This window comes from Homo sapiens, chromosome X, assembly GCF_000001405.40.
Source record: "Homo sapiens chromosome X, GRCh38.p14 Primary Assembly".
NCBI classification, from domain to species: domain Eukaryota; kingdom Metazoa; phylum Chordata; class Mammalia; order Primates; family Hominidae; genus Homo; species Homo sapiens.
This window is the reverse complement of record NC_000023.11, coordinates 80,013,722-80,032,440: the sequence shown is the minus strand read 5'-3', so window position 1 is coordinate 80,032,440 and position 18,719 is coordinate 80,013,722. Positions and strand designations below refer to the sequence as shown.

General features: G+C 40.8%; 1 protein-coding gene across 4 annotated transcripts, besides 5 other annotated features; it reads right to left on the bottom strand.

The window, feature by feature from the left end:
* TBX22 (T-box transcription factor 22) lies at positions 667–17,688 on the bottom strand. Of its 4 annotated transcripts, none has more exons than NM_001109878.2 (9): positions 17,554–17,688; positions 9,997–10,173; positions 9,201–9,381; positions 8,277–8,378; positions 6,664–6,838; positions 5,573–5,737; positions 5,121–5,185; positions 4,365–4,450; positions 667–1,943 (listed from the first exon to the last, which is right to left on the bottom strand). In NM_001109878.2, exons 2-9 carry the CDS (start codon positions 10,169–10,171, stop codon positions 1,330–1,332), a joined length of 1,563 nt encoding a protein of 520 aa, NP_001103348.1. In that variant the 5' UTR covers positions 10,172–10,173; positions 17,554–17,688; the 3' UTR covers positions 667–1,329. The 4 variants fall into 4 exon arrangements, with proteins under 4 accessions (NP_001103348.1, NP_001103349.1, NP_058650.1 ...); NM_001109879.2 differs by having other exon boundaries at positions 9,205–9,381; NM_016954.2 differs by lacking the exon at positions 17,554–17,688 and having other exon boundaries at positions 672–1,943; positions 9,997–10,198.
* Positions 9,491–9,991: an enhancer, noted in NCBI's record as "H3K27ac hESC enhancer chrX:79277949-79278449 (GRCh37/hg19 assembly coordinates)". NCBI's record gives its function as "activates a minimal SCP1, AML or CMV promoter by ChIP-STARR-seq in primed H9 embryonic stem cells {active_cell/tissue: H9 hESC(primed)}" and the evidence as "EXISTENCE:reporter gene assay evidence [ECO:0000049][PMID:30033119]".
* Positions 17,598–17,853: a promoter, noted in NCBI's record as "-167 promoter in TBX22-4 construct". NCBI's record gives the evidence for it as "EXISTENCE:reporter gene assay evidence [ECO:0000049][PMID:25373698]".
* Positions 17,598–18,296: a biological region, named in NCBI's record as "TBX22 P0 promoter". NCBI's record gives its function as "regulatory_interactions: TBX22".
* Positions 17,732–18,296: an enhancer, noted in NCBI's record as "OCT4-NANOG-H3K27ac hESC enhancer chrX:79269644-79270208 (GRCh37/hg19 assembly coordinates)". NCBI's record gives its function as "activates a minimal SCP1, AML or CMV promoter by ChIP-STARR-seq in naive H9 embryonic stem cells {active_cell/tissue: H9 hESC(naive)}" and the evidence as "EXISTENCE:reporter gene assay evidence [ECO:0000049][PMID:30033119]".
* Positions 17,740–17,769: a protein binding site, noted in NCBI's record as "oligo 1". NCBI's record gives its function as "positive regulation of transcription" and the evidence as "EXISTENCE:protein binding evidence [ECO:0000024][PMID:25373698]".

The following is an 18,719-nucleotide window of genomic DNA, read 5'->3' as shown; positions in this document are numbered from 1 at the left end:
AGATCACAAATAATACTTCATCTTGACTAGAATACTTAATTTGAATGCAATCATGTGGCATCCTATCCCTACTCCCAGGAGTGGGGATAATTTTAATACATATAGAGGAAGGCACATTTATAAGGCATATTTGAGATGAAATAATCATTTTGAGCAGAATAAATAATTAATATGCTGTTCTTTATATGTGTTGGAAAAATTAGAAAAATCAGTTTAGCAGTTTGCTTAGTTTGTCAAAAGTCAAGTCATTCCATTGTGATATTAAAGGGCTTGGCTTAATAAAATGTCTAGAGTTACTAGCATAAAACTCAAAATCTGATTCATCTTAAAGATATACAGGCTGTATATAGGTTATACCTCATAATTATTTTCAGAAATTTAGGGCCTGGTGAAAGGAAACTTTTCAACTTCATAAACTTAAATAAAAGATTATTCTACTTTTGTCTAGTTTAATTCACTATGATTGACACACAAGAGTGGAGTTAAATCATACCAGAATAATGATATTTTCATATTTATGGATTCAAATGTATTCTCCCTCTTGTAATCATAATGTCTTTATTTTCTTACAAAACTATAATAATACGTTTTTTTCTAATAGTGTATAAAATACCAGAGGTGTTAAAGGAATAAATGAACAAGTTTTATCTAGGAATTATCCAAAAATAAAAGAAAATAAAAGCAAATTTATTTAGAGTGTTTTACTTTTCATTTGATCTTTGTGTTCCTTCAAGATTAAATGGTCTTTAGGCTACAAAGATAAATAAAATATAATACTTGAAAGTTTGTGTCCTTATTTGTATCTTAAATTGAGATTAGTAGTTTCTTCAACAGCAAAGTATAAAGGCATGAGGCAAACAAATAATTAAATTTTCTTCTACAACTACTAGATAATTACATGAAAGCCGATCTTCATTTTTAAAACTGAAATTGCTTCACTGCTTTCATGAGAATTACATCCATCTTCTTTTTGTCATTGTCAATGTGTAAAATGCAGTTAACGTGGTGAACTAGCTTCAGTATAATTGAAAATCCCATCACTTAGCATCAATTTTCACTGGTGGAGTATCATCAAATAATATTTATTGCATATCTCATTTTGAAGCTCAAGGCCACTGTAATCAGAGATTCCTGTAGGTTTCATTTGACATTATAAACAACTCTTCATGAATATTATTTGATAAGGCACTTTAAATCTTTAAATGTATAACAAAGAAATACTGTATTGTAATGATGCTTTTTAAGCCCAATAACTGTTGAAATTTCTTTGGCTACAAATAAAGAAAATATTTGTTTACATGTAATTGTTCTAGAAATGCTATTGTCTTACTAAAGGTAATGGTTAATTGCTGGATACCAATGAACATGATTACATTTGCCTTCTCCAAAAGAAACTTGACTGTCGTCATTCACTTTAAGATGGTTGGAACCACTTATCAGTCTAGATGGCATAGAGAAATTGTATCTATAAAAGTCATAGGAAGGATGAAAGGAGCAACTAAGTGCTTCTGGGGTGATGGAGTTTGGCAGAAAAATATTTCCAGGTGACTGTAATCCATATAACATTTGATTGGTAGAATTAGGTGCTTGTAGATACTGATCACTGGAGTCTTCAGATGAACCGCTTTTTGAATTGGTGACCCCCAGGGAAGATAACATAGGCACTTCCATCATGAGTGGGGCTAAAGACTGAGAACTGTTGCTGCTTGCTAGTCTTTCAGGAGCCGGTAAAACAAGAGGTTGCTGTTGCCAAAAATTAGTTGGACAAATCTTGTAGCATAGAGGCAGGTTGACATTGGGCAGGTATGCCTCTGGACAGGGCATTCCAAGGGAGCTTGTAGGTAAATGAAACATAGGTGAAAAGCAAAGTGGAGAAAGTAAGGAGTTCAAAGGAGAGGGGGCCCCTCCACTAGAGGTCACTGGAGATGAGCCACTGCTTCCACCTGTGAATGACAATTCAGCCAATGAATAATGAACTTGACATTTGATGTTCCTGCAATATTAGTAATCATATCCTTCACTATCTGTGCTTCATCCTTAGATTAATTTTCCTTGTGAGTTCACAGTTCTTTTAGCTTCTTTGAGACAGGACCTGCTCATTCCTCTGACTAAAGTTGAATATAGTATCTATACTAGGTATCGCTAATGCCTGGGTTACCCACTGGTACAGGTCTGTAGCCTGTTATGAATCAGGCTGGACAGCAAGAGGTGATCAGCAGGCCAGTGAGCATTACCTCATTGCCTGAGCTCTGCCTCCTTTCAGATCAGCGGCAGCATTAGATTCTCACAGGAGCGCACACTCTATTGTGAACTGTGCATGTGAGGGATCTAGGTTGAGTGCCCTTTAATGATAATCTAATGCCTGATGATCTGAGGTGGAACAGTTTCATCCCGAAACCATCCCCTCCCAACCCCCACCATTCGTGGAAAAATTGTCTTTCACAAAACTGGCCCCTGGTACCAAAAAGGTTGGGGACCACTGATCTATACTACTACCACTATTACTTTTAGCACTACTACCATGTATCATGTATTAAGCATTCATTTGCTCAAATACTGTGCTAGGCACTTGAACCACATTTGTACAAAGAATTACAAAGAAGTCCAATTATGACTTAGCGTCAATTATATCTTACAAACACAAACTAGTTTTATTATTTTAAAACCTTAAAATGTTACTAAAATAAGTAGTTAAGATGCACAAATTGATTGGTTGTTTGGGATTATATAGATTTAGTTTATAGATAGAATGTATAGATTTCATGTACGTTGATTTTTTAAATTCCTCTGACCAAAGGTACACTGATTTAAAAAATTCCTCTGACCACTGATTTAAAAAATTAGTGAACATGAAAATAGTCTTGTATAAATGAAAGCAATATATTTAAAAGCCTTAGCTTTTTTTCTTATACAAAAACAATGAATGGGGCAATTTCCATACTGCATTATATCTTAAGAGTTGGAAATAATTTTGCAAGTTAAGAAATATAAGGATGAATGTAAGTGTTCATATCAATGACGTTTGCTGATTTTTTATGTTTGCCTAGCATCTACTAAAACTAGGGATAATTATAAGGTCCAGGAAACGCTAAACTCTAAAGCTTATTTTTGTAAATGTCTGAATTCAAACAATTGGTTATTGGCTGGATTTGACCAAGTTGTTTCTTTTTTAGTGTTGCTGTTTTCTTAACTATTTTGTGTATGTAGACGTATCCTAAACCTTCATCAACAAGATGGCAAATATCTTTTATAATAAAGCATTTAAAAGTTATTTAAGAAACTAGTAGCTCATTTATTTGCAATTTGAGAGCATTTTGGATATGTTAAATAATTAAGAAAACTGTGTACTTTAAATTATCATTTCATGATCATCTTTAACTTTTTCTTTATTAGTGCACATTTGTTTTGACTTGGATATTTAAAAGTATGCTTTCTAGATGCTATTAGTTAAATCGACACTGTAAAATAAGTGTTTTTTTTTTCATGCAATTCCCTAAACCACATCAAGACAGCCATTCCAGTGAAATATTTCACCAAATGATTAGACTTCACTTCTTCCCTTTTCAGTTAGTTGTTATGGCATCATGTAAAACTCAACCTAACTATAATGTTGGTTTTGCTTGGCAATTGTAACCTTGAATTAATGGTCAAAGACAAGCAACTTCGATGGAGTAAAGACAAAGGGATAAAAAAAATCCATGTCATTTTCAAATAAAAATTATTCTATTTATTATTAACTATCAGAGCAAATTAAGGTATCCTTCCACCAGAAAGCCTGCATTATTTAATTATTATTATTTTGTCATGTAATGTACCATCTGAGGATAAATATCTTGCAAATATTTTTAAATGCTTGTGGCAATTAAATTGTGAAGACTTAGTATTATTTTTAACATTTACTTTCCCCATGAACAAAAAAGAGGAAAATTAGAGCTCAGTGATGAATTTAATGAAAGTCATTTTAACATGTACTGAAAGGTCCTCATAAAAGATAAACTATTCATTTCAATAGTAACATATTTGCAAATCAGGCTGCAAATGCACCACAGGCATATCCTAAAGAATGTGAAACAGTGAGAGGCTGAAAAATCCAGATGAAATCTGAAAATCACAGGGTGTAAGATAACTTATTAACATATGTCAATAAGTCTACAATTATCACATTTCTATTCTCTTCCTTCATGCCAGCTTCTCTCCCTTTATGCCTCTTACCTCGTCATTCAGGCAAATGTACACGCAGTTACCCATAAGTACACATTTTCTTGCATGTACATATCCCCTTGTGTAGTATTTGGTACAAGGGTTCCGGATGTTGTTATTTAATTGATATGTAAAAATAAAACAAACGTTCCAAGTTTTCTTACTTTGTGTGTCTGCGCCAAAGGTTTTAAAATCGAGAGTGAAAGAAGGCCTCCATGGGTAGGTCTCTAAAAGCCCATCCAATACACCCCTAAAAAAGAGAGTCAACTTTCAGCATCCCCAGAATGCAATTTCTGAAAATAATGATTTTGAGTTATTTTGCTATATCTTTCAGATGTAACTATTTTAAATATTTCTCTTTTATATAGCTAGACTTCTGAATAAAATTCAGTCAAACCTAGAATTCTAAAATAAGCAAGGTCTTAATAGTGAGTAGCAAAGGAGTGGGAGGAAGTAATGTTTTCAACACAAAACATCTGGGTTCCTTTCTTACCACCTACTAATTACAAAACTTAGAGCTTTTGAGTCTCTGAGTCAGTTTTCTTATCCTTAAAACTTGTGGGGGACCAGGTGCAGTGGCTCACGCCTGTAATCCCAGCACTTTGGGAGGCTGAGGCGGGCAGATCACGAGGTCAGGTGTTCAGGACCAGCCTGACCAATATGGTGAAACCCCATCTCTACTAAAAATACAAAAATTAGCCAGGCCTGTTGGCACATGCCTGTAATCCTAGCTACTTGGGAGGCTGAGGCAGGAGAATTGCTTGAACCAGGGAGGTGAAAGTTGCAGTGAGCTGAGATCGTGCCATTGCACTCCAGCCTGGGCAACAGAGTGAGACTCCATCTCAGGAAAAAAAAAAAAAAAAAAACTTGTGAAAATAGCTAGCTACATCAATATTAGATGTCATTGCTATGCTGCTTACCTGTTTCTTCCAGTATCTCTAAATCCTTTAGCAAAAGGATTTCTTTCTATTTTTAGTTTCGTAATCTATGGATTCAATAGAGAGAGAAAGATAAAGTCATTGCTTTCAGTAAGAACACTGTTGCCATTGCTTATAGTGGTTACAACCACCAGAAGAGATGTTGAAACACGTTAATATGACAATTTAAATAAATGTAACCATATTGCAAGTCATATTTAGAATGGTTAGCTCCTATTTATAAATCATTACTTTTATAAATTACCTTCTGGAGTTGCCTTCTCCCATAAGATTTATACAATTCATTATCAAACTTGCATGGATGACAATACAATAAAACTATGATTTTTATTTAGAATTGTGGAAAATGCAATTGATGGCAGTTAGCCTCTATGCCTCTAATCCAAGGTCCCTCTGGAGCCATTTCCATTCGCCTGAGACATGACCAAGTTTACCTGTTGGTTTTGGTAAGCCGTTACTGTGGTGAACTCAGTTTCTTTAAAGGAGAATGTTTTAACACCTTCAGTGGGCAAGGACTGAATCTGGGACAGGTCAACACTGCTGCCTTGCTCTATCACGTGCACTCGGGGTTTGTACTTATGCATGGATTGCAGAATGATCTGGAGGAGAAATGATCAATGCTGTTAGAAAAACTGGCTTCAGTCCCAAACCCTAGTTCCCTCTCCTGACCACCTCCACCATGTGCACACAAAAAGGCAATGATGAAGCTTAGGTAACTACTTTGTTGTGCCATTTGGCCTCCAACAGAGGCGCTCCGAGCTAAAAACATTTCCAGAGAAAGACACCTCAGCGGCACCAGTCAGCAGTGATTCCATTTCCAGATTGGGGCCTTTTCCTGCTTCAAACACTGGCGACCATCTGGTGTAGAAGTGGCACTGGGATCTGCTAGCCTGCTACAAGTTCCCATGGCAGTAACTGATAGGCTTGGATATGGTGGGTAACCTGACATACCCTACCTCCTAATCTTGGGAGCTTCCCTCTTTCCTTTTGTAGCTGGCACAGTGCCAGACTGGGGAGGACAGAAGCTGGGGTGCACCTAGTGAGAATGTGCAAGATCAATAGGACCTATGAGGGTAGGTTGTTTGGGAGATTTCCAGGATGCAGTCTGAGATTCCCCCACTTGTATCCTTCCATCACACATACCATACACTGGGTGCCCATCCAACTGCGTGGACTACAGGAAGGCAATCAGAGATCATAGTGATTGCCAAGGAGGCTAAGGTGCCTGAGAACTCCCTGAATGGTTCCCTCCTACTCTCCCAGACCAGGCATTCTGGCTTAAACAGGTCTCCTTCTGTCCTCAAACTCCCTATATTCACCATCCCCAGTCGCCAGCATCTCAGATGCTAAACAAACGTTTCAGGAGCCCTAGGTTAGCTACTTTACTTACAGGTGCAGGGCTTGAACAGTTCCTAAAAAACACAACATGTGCATCTGCAAAAAGCCTCCCTGGCCTCTCCAGGGTGACCAGTGGGCAGGAGCCTTGGCACCTCCCTCCTCGGGGTAAAGGATTGTGCTCACGTACGTGGCCTTTGTCATCCATCTCATTGTTGGTGAGTTTCATGCGATCAAAGCTGATGATCTGCCGCATCCAGGTCTCTCCCGAGCAGGGTGAGTCCGGGTGAACATAGAATCTAGGAATGATGCACAAATGGTCTGTATTCCCAGCTACCATCCACTGTGAGCTGTGATAGACGTACCTGAAAAAACACATGCTGTGGCATTAGGTGCAGCAGGCCAAAGCTGGGAGCTGTTGTGTTCTGTTCCTGAGGACTTCACTCCAGATTAGCCCAGTGATCCCAAGGGCAAGTAAGGAGAAGACTCAACTTAATTTCTAACAAGCATTCGGGGCAAAAAATAAACTGTAAATAAGCATATGTCATCAAAATGCAATGAAGTGCAGGGAAAGTAAAATGTCATGAGATTTCTAAGTCTGATTTGTATTTTCTCACAGAAACCACCACAGAAATTGATCTAACAAATTTTATCTCACAGAGATAATGGAAAAATCCACTAGCTTTGGGTGTGAAGAGTCTGGGAAGAAGTGGAGGGCTGACAAGGATGTCTTGTCTAGGCCACTGTCACCACTCTTTGTGGAAGCCCTTTTGTCAATAAGGCTTCACATCAAGAAAACTCTTAGGAACACAGCCCTGCGCAGCCTCTGGCCGATTTTCACACTATTTCCAATCTCAACTTCCCAGTTTTGCTCTTATTCCCAAGCCAGCTGCAATTTGAGAAGCAAACAGCTTTTTCTGCTGTTTCCATACTGCAGCCCCAGCAGTCCTCTGAGCAGAGCCTTCTCCTTGCTTTCAAAGCTAGCTCTGGTTTTGAGGTGGGCTGTCTCCTTGGAGGACCAGGGACCCACCTCTGGGTCAAATGCTCACAGCCCTAGTGTAAACAGCTGTCACCTCCCCAACCCCTCCAACCCTGAACTGGACCCCAAGCCCCTGAGTCAAAGTGTTGGCAAGCTGGTGTGTCTGGGGTGTATCCCAGAAGGGCTTTTTGGCTTTAAAACAGTTGGGCCACTTTCAGCCTGCTGTAGGTTGAGGGCTTAAATAAAGGGAAAATGATACTTGTACCCTCTAAGACCCAGACATTACTTCAGGGGAAAGGTTAAAGATGGACGAAAAGACAGGCCTAGACACAGGAACGCTTGACTGACCTTGAGTGGCAAATTGATCATCCTTCTGGCCTCCTGCTGCCAAAGCAGCAAAGCTCAGAGCCCAGCATGTCCCCAGATGCCCAGGCTCCCATAGAGCCTGGGGATTTCTCCCACAATTCCTTCAACCCGCTTCCCTTCTGACCACCAGAGCCCACACCCTCTGCAGTTTACACAACCAAGGCCAGAGCAGTGGGTAGGGAGAGGCTTGGGGTACATTTGGAGTTCTAATTAGTGCCCTGAATTCACGGCATTCCAAGAGGGGATGGGGGCAGAGAGAGGAAGAAGGCTTCTCTTCTTTCACTGGGAACCCCAATTTTAATAAGAAAATTCAACTCCTAAAGCCCACAGGAGAGCAATCCCCCACTCCCACCCCCCATGCTAGAGTTTTCAAAGTCATGCTGTCAGGTTTCAGGTCTGAAGGTCCAAATCCCTGGCCCTAGCCTGGGCATAGAGTACCATTCTATGGGGCCCATTACCTATAGCGTTTGGAATCCACCGGCACCACATCGATGGCCACATGGTACTGCTTCCCTGGATCCAACCCTTTCACCTTGACCCGAACAGAGGGGAACATCCGCCTGTAAGAAAGAAAATAAGGACTGACCCAAGAGCTTTTAGAAATGTTTGGAAGAGGGAGTGTTTCTGGACAAATGCTGACTCCAGTAAAAAGTGAAGGGACTCACAATACCCTTCCCTTTTCAAAATAGCAAGGAATAGCATTTGCTACATGAGGAAAGATTGTTGGTTGCATACTTGACCGAACAAGTACGGAATTTCTAAGTGGAGCAGAATATTATTACCACAAGGCTTTGTTCATGTCCCTCCCCAACCATAATAAAAAGCTATAGAAGAGAAAGTATGAGAGAAAAAGCTGTGTCCCAACCTCCTTTTCAAGGGTACTTTCTGTGAGGCAGATTTGTGGAAGGCTGAAATTAGTTAGACTCACAAAATAACCAGCTGCAGTGAAGTGGCTGTCCCATGCCAAAAGGTGGCTATGGGAATGGCTCACCTCAAAATAACCTGGGCCAGGTCTAGCGGGCGCGAGGAACTGTGACATGGGATACTGTCCATGGTTATCTTAGAGGCCTTAACTGAGAGGTCTGGCCACAGTCTAAGACCAAAGTCTGATTTTTGTCTTATACTACACAGGCAGGAGACGGGGAAGTGAGTTATTGGAGTCACAGTGTACAGGAAAGGAAGAATGAGCCACTTACATGGGGCCAGGTAAGTCCGAGCCCTATCAATTGAGGGGCTATGGCTTTCTACTGTATGTCAGGGAGTTGGGGAAAAGGGACAGAGGAGTACCAGAGCATAAAACTGGAGAGTCCTCATCTTACCAGAGCGGTAAATTAAGTGCCTAATGTGTGTGACCCTTGTGAACAGCTTGGGCAGAACCGAACCTGCCCGCTTTAGTAATGATCATCTCAGTCCCGATGTCATGGAATCTTTTCCACAGTTCAGATCCTTGAAGCTCCATTTGAATATCTTTCTCTTCCAGACTTTCAGAGCTGTTGCCGTAGCCGCTGTCGCTGCCGCAGCCAGAGGAAGCAGATGTTGAGGGCTCTGTCTTAGGTTGTTTTTCTGCTGGACACAGAAAGGCGCTCAGGGTTTGAGAGAGCGTCACAGTTCACATGCCCACTTCTCGCTGGTGCCTATCTTGGAGCAGACAGGGCCTTGTCCCTTCCCCAGGAACTTTGGCGACAGATTCCCCAAGCTCCGCATAACACCCTCTGTGGCCGCTTAATGGAGAGAGAGGGGCAGTGAAAGGTGCGACACCCGACACCTACCCCCCGCCCACACCAGCTTTTTTTTTTTTTTTTTTTAGATTTGCCAATCCTCACTCTCCTGGAGACGTTGATAACCGAGACTGGATGCCCTCGGGATTTGGGAACTCGCCCTGCTTCCCATCCCAGGATACAGCAGCCACCCGCTGGCGGTGAGAGCTTTCCGCGAAGGTAGGAGGAGGATGTAGGAGAGACTCACTTCACAATTATGTAGGGACCCTCCCCTTTACCGCAAAGAAACTGCTGTACTCCGGGATGGATTCGGAGGCGCTGAAACTTCCCCTTCACCAGGTGGTCGAGGTGTCTCGCGGCTCCTAATGTGGCTGTCTGGCTGCGTCGGGACGCGAGCCAGGCGGAGAGATGCGGAACCAGTAAGCTCAGGCAACGGGCTCAGGGCAATGGCAGTACTTACCAAGCGGCTCGCTCTTCCCTGCAGCGCTGCTCCTTCTCTCCTCCTCTTCCTCTCCGCCCTTTTTCTCCCGCAGCTCAGGCTGCTCCGCCTGTATTGGGTCTTGGAGTTTTCTTTTGCTGGGTCTCCCCACCAAGGCTTCCACGGAGAAGGCACGCGCCCGAGAGCTCAGAGCCATCCCTGGAGGGGGTGAAGGGATTCTTTGCAGCAAAGTTTCAACCTGAACTGGGTTAGGGAGGGAGGGGGAGACACAGGCGGAGGGCACAGAGGGTGAAGGAAGGAGGGAAAGCGGGAAAAACAAAACAAAACAAAACAAAACCCCAAACCCAAAACCCAAATCTGAAAAACAATTTCTGGATCTGTATTCAAAGAAAATAATTGTGTGTGTGTGTGTGTGTGTGTGTGTGTGTGTGTGTGTGTAATTTTTTTATATACATATATATTTTTTGTTTGAATAGACAAAATGAAAGGAGAGGAAGATCAAACTAGTGTATATGTCCTTCAAAGTCTAGTCTCCCTTCCTCCCAGTGCACATGTGCAGACCATTAGTCCTCAAATCCCTGATTCCAGGACCTGGCAGAGCAGAGATTGGCAAGTGCTGGCCTTTTAGGGAGCAGACCTGCCGCCAATGGCGGCTCAGGTTGCTCGGATTGGGAGTTACTGTTGCATCCAGTGAATACCCAGCCGGTCACTGCCTCCACTGTTTGTTTTGGAAACTATTGGAAGCATAAAAAACACAGTGAGTGACACTTCAGAGTCTAACAGGGAGGGGGGTTTTGGAGCTTGTTGAAAAAAAGCTATAGATAGGGAAGTAGAGAGAGGAGAAAAGGGAGATACAGGTTACAGCTTTACATTAAATTATAAAACTCAAAGACATGCGAAATAATTGCCCACGAGGGACCACTTTAAGCAGATCCGGAGAGATGTATCAGGGTCTTTTGCTCTCCAGTGAAGGCACTGGGAAACAGAAAGGAGTACAAGCTTTTGGGGCCAGTTGGCTCTGCAGTTGGAGTCTCAAATTAGGTGAGCAGCAGTTGTGCCAGTTTATCCGCTCTCTTCTGTTAGTGAGGTGAGGGCAGGCAGGAGTCTCCCAATGCCACTGTCAAGCATCAGAGAAAACTTGGATCTTCAAGCCCTGCCTCTGCTGGAGCCCAATATTCCTATACATAGTCTTTGTTTTTTCTCACAGTACTTAATCAGCAAACACAGTCTAAAAACTCCAGGTCCACCAGCAGGGCAACAAAAGGGCCTTTGCTCCCAAGAATGTGCACAACTCAAAATGTTCGGATTAAGTAATTGATTCCAGTGTCTCCTGGAATATATTCTTGGGCTGGATTTTACTTTTCCTTAAAATGAATATACAAGTTTCTTTTTTTTTCAGGAAGAGACTTGTCTACAACATCCAAAGAGCATGTTTACGTATGCAGATATGAGATGTCTGCCTGTGTGCATATGATTTGGTCTCCTACTTTTCATCAGAAATAAGAAATCAAGTGCCCCTGGATTCTTTTGCAGGTTGCATCTTAACTAATAGCATTTGCATTTTTCCAGAAAAATTATATTATTCTCCTCTGACACATTTGTAAAAAGGGCATTTAAAGCTGATCCAAGTTCATTTAAAATAAGATGCAACTTGAAATAACTTATAATATGCCAATACTGGAATCTGAGAGTAAAAGACCTGTGTGTCCTTTTAATTTCAGCTACTTAGGTACAAATGTGCCCTGCCACTGTGATGGCAGTGGTAGTGGTGGTGGTAGGGGGATATTCAGCCATAGGGAGGAGATCTTCAGGCAACTGGGTATGACTTTAAACACTCTAAAAATCTCAGTATGGCAAAGAGTTACTTACAGCTTGAATGCTGCTGAAGGGTTTGGCTCAATCATTATTTAGCCACTGCTCACCATGCAGAATTGAGAAAGACACTGTCCCTATCCTAGACAGGCAAAGTGAACCTCACAGGTAAGGCCAATTTCGTGTAAGGAACTTGGGCTGGAAAACAGCCACATCTGCATGTGATCTGAGCATTCGTTTCTTTTCGCACCCATTAAAGTGGGGGGAGAGTGTTTGTTCATTTCCTCTTACTCAGAAGATCTATCTATCTATCTGTCTATCTATCTATATGTATCATCTATCTATCTATCTATCTATCTATCTAATCTATCTCTATCTATCTATATTTTATTTATTGCATGCTCTTAGCTAAAATACACAACTAAAAAACAGAAAAGTCGAGTTTATTTGTTAATTTTAGAGTGCAATTATTACCATGTAATATTTGTGTTAGTATCTCCTAATACAGGTGTTGTCTTGCCTTTAACCTTAGCTCAATTTATTGTTAAAAGGCAGGACGTTACCTTGTATAGAAAGGGACAACTTTGCTTGGTATCTTTTTTTTTAAATAGATTTTTGTAAAAATAAAGCAAAAGATGTTTGTTGCAATGTCTGTGCTAGTATTTTAGACTACCTAACATATGATGTGATATTTTGAAATCAAGAAAATAGCATATCTTGGGTGTAAGTTTCTTTCTTAGAAGAAACTTCTTTCTTAATATTTATTACATGCATGTAATTTAGTCATCCAGAATTTTTTTATTTTTGTAATCTGAACTTTTTCCATTCCCATTTCTGTATATATCTGTTGACATCACTGGGAGATATGTAGCTTAGCTCTCCCTTGTATGTACTAGACTAAAATATAGTTAATTCCTGTTAACTTGTATCTGAGGGGGAAAATATTGCATTATCTCATAACTAGCTTTGCAGTCTGGTCAGCTGCTGAAGCACTGGGCTGTCAGGTATTGGGGGCCTGAGGCGCATGTACTAATGCCAGCAATTCATTCTCCACACCTGGAAGTCTCTTTGGGGCATCTCTATATTTCATCCATGAACACCCATAAACCTTTATAAGAGACTCTTCAACAATGGAGGGGCAGCGAAACATGTGGAGGTTTCTGAGACCCACAGATGCCCACAATAGAAAGAAGAATATGTTTTTTAAGTTTGATAATAGGAAAATCCTTACAGTAAAATGTTGGTTTTGAATTGCCCACTCCCCATGATTAAGATATTTTGGCATAGTTCCAAGCTTGTGGAACATGAATCTGAAACAAGCTACTCATGGCCTTTTTTTTTTGTCATTACTTGGGAAAGACCTCCTTAGAATGAACACTCTAATGAACACTTTAATGAAAGCAGAGTCAGGAAATGTAATCAGCTTCCCCACAACATCATTTGAGTACCTGAATTCAACTTTGCCTGCACTAGCTAAGTGACATGAAGAAATAAATTATCGTTGTTTGCTTAAGTGAGCTTCAGCTGGGTTTCCATTACTTGTAGACAAAAGAGTCTTGACAAATACACTCATCTTGATAAAATTTGGAAGATCACTTTCTTCTTCTAGTTTTCTTTCTTCCTACCTCTTCTCCTTTTTCAATACTACTGGTTATGAGAATAGGAAAATTATGTTATTGACTAAATTTTACTTTCTACATGAATTCTTCAGGCTATGATAATAAATAGGAATAAGGCTCAAGCAGTACAGCATGTAAGAAGACAGACTTTAGATTCAGACTGACCTGATTCAAATTCTGACTCTACTTTCTATCTGAATGACCTTACACAAGTCTTTTTTTTGCATTCAGTTCTTTGTTTTAACCATTTAAAGCTATTATTTCTAACACTCCTATCATAGAGTATGTTTCTGTAAGTGTGTTTATATATCTGAGAGTTTAGTAAAAAGAGAAGAAAACATGCAAACCACTTAGGACAAAGCCTGGAACATAGTAAGCACTCACAGATGTTTTCAAAATTAAAGAGATGATGGGAGTTAATTTCAAGAATGTGCTAATCTTTCTATCAACTATACAGCTGTGAATTCTTTGAGGCGAAACACTCGAAGGGGAAAACTTTGGGATCAACACTGGAACCCCCAACTTTTGGCTAAATCCTAAAGCAGATTCAAAAGGTTGAAAGTCTTTAGGAAAGCCACCTTTTTTTTTAAGAAATTCAAATACTATTTTAATAAATAAAATTAGTGAATTAAACCAAAAGATTACATTTGAATTTCAAAAATCCATAGGAAACATGTCTTCTAGAATACATGACCTGTTTTTATCAAGTTCATCCTTGGAAATATATCTTTGGTATTTACCAATGCAATGTAAGTGTATGTTCTTATATGATTAGATAAAATGTGTTAATGACAAGACCCTAACTCGTAGCTGTGTTCTCACTTCAGGAAATTGAGGGATGTGGCCTAATTAATATTAAAGTAATTCTCACACTGAATCCCTCAACTTCTGGTTAGCTTAATTCAATATAATCTCTCAAGAAGACTGTGCTTTTATTCATCTAGTCTTGAGTTATGCATGTCAAACTTTGTTACTCTTGCTCCTTGGTAGAGTAGGGGAAGAAAAAGTAGAGATACAAATTCTTATCTGTGTTCGCTGTGTTCTTCTCATGGGGAGGATTGGAAGCGAAATGCTCATGCTTGCAAAAACTTTAGCTACAGGAAAATGCATTCTGTTGAATTTAATCATGTGTTCATACTGCTATCAAATGGTGAAGGCCTTCCTATGATAATAATTACAACATTAGGCTTCAGTTCATTGTATTTCTCATTCTAACTGAAGTATATCAAAGGCATACAACTACTTTTTCTTATTTCTTCACTGAATTAATAACCTAAGGTCGATAGAATTTTTAAAAATTTCCTAGGAAATTTGCCACCAGAATTATGGGGACAATTTTGTACGTGGCTAATTTTGAGCAGGATAAATGAATAAACGAAAAAGAAAAAACCTTTTTGAAAGTCCAAATGTAATTCTACCCTATGGTGATTCTAGTAATTGCCAGAAGAGGCATTGTATGGTCACCTTTCAGCTGTCTTTGACTTCCTGGAGCAGTGAAAATAATAAATAATTATAAATGCATCCTGTCTCTTTTAGTCCTCAAACACTCTCCATTAAAACATTGAGCTTAAGGCCAGGTATATGGGCTCACACTTGTAATCTCAGTGCTTTGGGAGGCTGAGGGAAAAGGATAGCTTGAGTCCAGGAGTTCGAGATCATCCTGGGCAACATAGCAAGATCCTGTCTCTACAAAACCTAATGAACAAAATTAAAGAAAACACACACACACACACACACACACACACACACACACAAAAACAACACCAAACTAGTGTCAAACCTATTCCTTTTTATGTTACCTCTCTGGTGCTCCATTGGCACTTGCACAGTCATATATTAACTGAAGGCTCAATCAGGACTGCTGGACATAATATTTTTTCATGGGTAGAGTTTGTGCTATGTGAATTTTTAGGTTAGGTCATTTTAACTTGGGTATTATGCCTTATACATTTCTTTTACCTACTCCACCCCCATCTTTCCTCTTTCCTTTTCTTTGTTTTTTTTCATGCTTTTTTTTTTTTTTTTTTTTGAGACAGAATCTCCCTCTGTTGCCCAGGCTGGAGTGCAATGGCACAATCTCAGCTCACTGCAACCTCTGCCCCCCAGCTTCAGGTGATTCTCCTGCCTCAGCCTCCTGAGTAGCTGGGATTACAGGCGTGTTCAACCACGCCCAACTAATTTTTGTATTTTTAGTAGAGACGGGGTTTCACCATGTTGGCCAGGCTGGTCTTGAACTCCTGACCTCAGGTGATCTGCCTGCCTCAGCCTCCCAAAGTGCTGGGATTACAGGCTTGAGCCACCGCACCTGGCATCATGCTGCCTTTTTAAAAATGAGGATGAGAGTCAGAGTTACCTCCAAATATGCTATATGCATCAGCCTCAAAGAAAGTGGGCTAGGATTTGAAAAATGACTGCAGGTGCCAGTTTGATATTTTAAAATAAATAATTCAGACATATAGCAAAATATCACTGGCTCAGATCACTTGAACGGAGATATGCCAAGTTAATTGCATCAATGAATTATTGAAAAAAAATACTGTTTATGAGGAATTATTTTATCTTCCTAAAACTAGAAAAATGCTTGCTTTACACCCTCTTCCCCTACACACGCTTTCTCACCAAATGACTCCACTCAGTTCTCAGATCAGTGAGTCATCATCTGGCTCTGCCTAATTTGGGCAGCCATGAGCCCAACAGAAGCAGATCCTTCTGTTAAGAAAGAAATCATCCTGAACTCCATTGGGCCCACCAAATCTCGTGCTAATCTTTTCACTATTTACTTACTCCTGGATATTTACAATATATTTTCCTCTTCTTAACTTGGCACCCTACCTCATCATTCCTAGGACATGCGAATAAGGTACTAAAGGCTTCTTTCCATATTCTCATAATTATCTGTATTTAATCAGGGCTTTTCAATACCTAACAACCACAGATGTACTGACACTCAAAAATATTTGGTAGTAGGCTGAGGGATTTTCCCTAAGTCTATCAAAACACCAAATATAGGCAAACACCTATACTGCCTGTGCTTGAAGCCAATCTATGCCTTCTTTCATACACTGTCTTCCTTCCCAGGGTCCCCACATTAATATTACTAGAGAAAAAACTGCTCCTTCATGAAGTAAATATTTGTAGTTAGTAAACCCTGATCAATGCTCCGAGGGGCAAAAGGGAAGGTTTTAATAATTAAGAAATAAAGACAAATTTTAAAAAATACAAAAGAGAAATCACAGAAAACAATAAGGTCTTCATGGAGATAAGTCTGCTGAACTGAAACAAAGCAACCATATCACCACCCTACAGCAAACTCCTTGACATGCCTTTTATGGCCAGGTGCTTTCTGTAGTCCCCTTCTCTAGTTTGAAGGCATGTGTGTGTGTGTGGTATGTGTGCTTGTGTGTTTGTGTTACAATGCGGTGTATGAGCTCAAGCTCTGGTAAGAAAAATCAGGAATAAGTAAAATAAAACAATCTTTTTTGGCACACTTTGATGTTCCCTCTCTCACCCCAATGCCCATGCTTTGGGACTTCAGACCTCCTCCTGAAATCAAATGAGTGCAAAGAAGATCAAATAATCCTTCTGCCTCTGTGGATCTAGAGCTCCTTGGGGAAGAGCCTCGGTAGAAAGTACCACTACTTAGAGCCCTTGGCTAGGGCCACTTTTCAGTGTTAGACACCTGCCACTCAGCTCAGTGACTTCCACGTTGGCTTCAGTCCTCACCTTCCAGGAGGCACTCCCGTCCCTTCCCCTTGCTCCCTAGCTCCCTAAACAAGATCTGTGAGCACTAATGCATAGTATCCTGGGCCTGGGAGCCTTCTGGCTGCATTGCTGCCTAGGAGAGGGACTATTGCTGGCTTCTTTGGGTATTACAGCATACTCTTAACAGACTGGACAAGTCTAGCCTTCATTAATTTTAAAGAGCACTAATATTCTACTTCCAGTCCCCCGAGAAGTAGTGATTGCAAGATCTCTGTCACAAAACCCCCAGTTAATGAAAGATGAAACTGACAGTTATCAGTTGGACTTTCCTAATGTTAGGGACTTGGTTAGTGATAGTTAACAGGAGAGGAAGAGGCTGAGGAGAATCCCTGTACTGATGTCCCACTAAAACCCATAACATGGTCAGTAAGGCAGAGGTATTTACCTGGAAGGCAAGAAGCAGTGTGTTGCTGTGTCAAGAGGCCAGGCCAGCCCAGTGGTTCTGAAGTCAAGTCTCAGTCAGAGCTCATTCACTCTGCAAATGCCTGCAGCAGCTCTTCTCAAGAGCCCAGAGAAGAGTGGCCTAGAGCCAGAGCACAAGAGAACGTGGTGTTCTGGCCCTCAGCTGTGGGAGAGGCACTTGCTACTTCCGGGGTTGGACTCCAGCAACTTCTCCCACAGAAGACCTGCTGTTACTCAAGGTTGGCCATGAAGTCACAATGACAGTCTGTGATTTCAGCTTTCAGAGCCTCAAGGCTGCAGGCACCCTGCATCCTACCTCAGCCTCCCGGTTGCAACCATACCTGGCTGCATCCTGCTCTGAGCTACAGGCTAATGCACTTGGGAAAAAATGCCTTTGAAGCAGGAGTGGATTGACTTTACAAGTCTAGTCAGCTCATTTCCATGCCCAGCAGGAGCACTTGCAGTTGGAAAACACTTTTCAATCCTCAATCAACAACAGCAGCTCAGAAGCTCCACTCAAGGGGTTCAGCTCTGGAGTCATCCACTAAGAGACCCATTCAGCCTCAGGCAGTGATTCCCAGGCAGTGTAGAGACTCTCAGTGGCCAGGATCCCCCTCTCAGTCTGCAAGCGCCACATAAACAAAACTTTACACCTCCTAAAGGAAAGATCCAACACACACACATATACACACACACACACACACAATTTAATGCACAGCGAATCCCAGAAATGTCTTGGCTGACACATTTTTCTGCTGCAAAATAGAACATGTTTGATTTTTACTTGTTGGTTTATTTCTCCAGGGCAGCTCAGAGAGAATCGAAAAGGGCTTAAGGCCCTAAGTCAGAAGAATTTACTAGCAATAAGTGATCCATAGGTACTTGAAAAATCAATGCTCATTTTATCCTCTAGTGAAGAGGCTCTCATAGAAGAGAAGACAGATTCTGGATTAGTGCGGTTTAATTGGACGAATTCTATAGCTTTTAAATTTATTTTCTCCATTGCAGAGAGCACCATACCTTTCAAGTAATGCAGGAAACCCCAGCTACCCCGCATTGGGCTACCACACCGCAGTGCCATGGATAACTAGGAAGGACCCAGGGGATTTCCCAAATAAAACCCCTGAAGCAGATAATGCCTGTTATAAC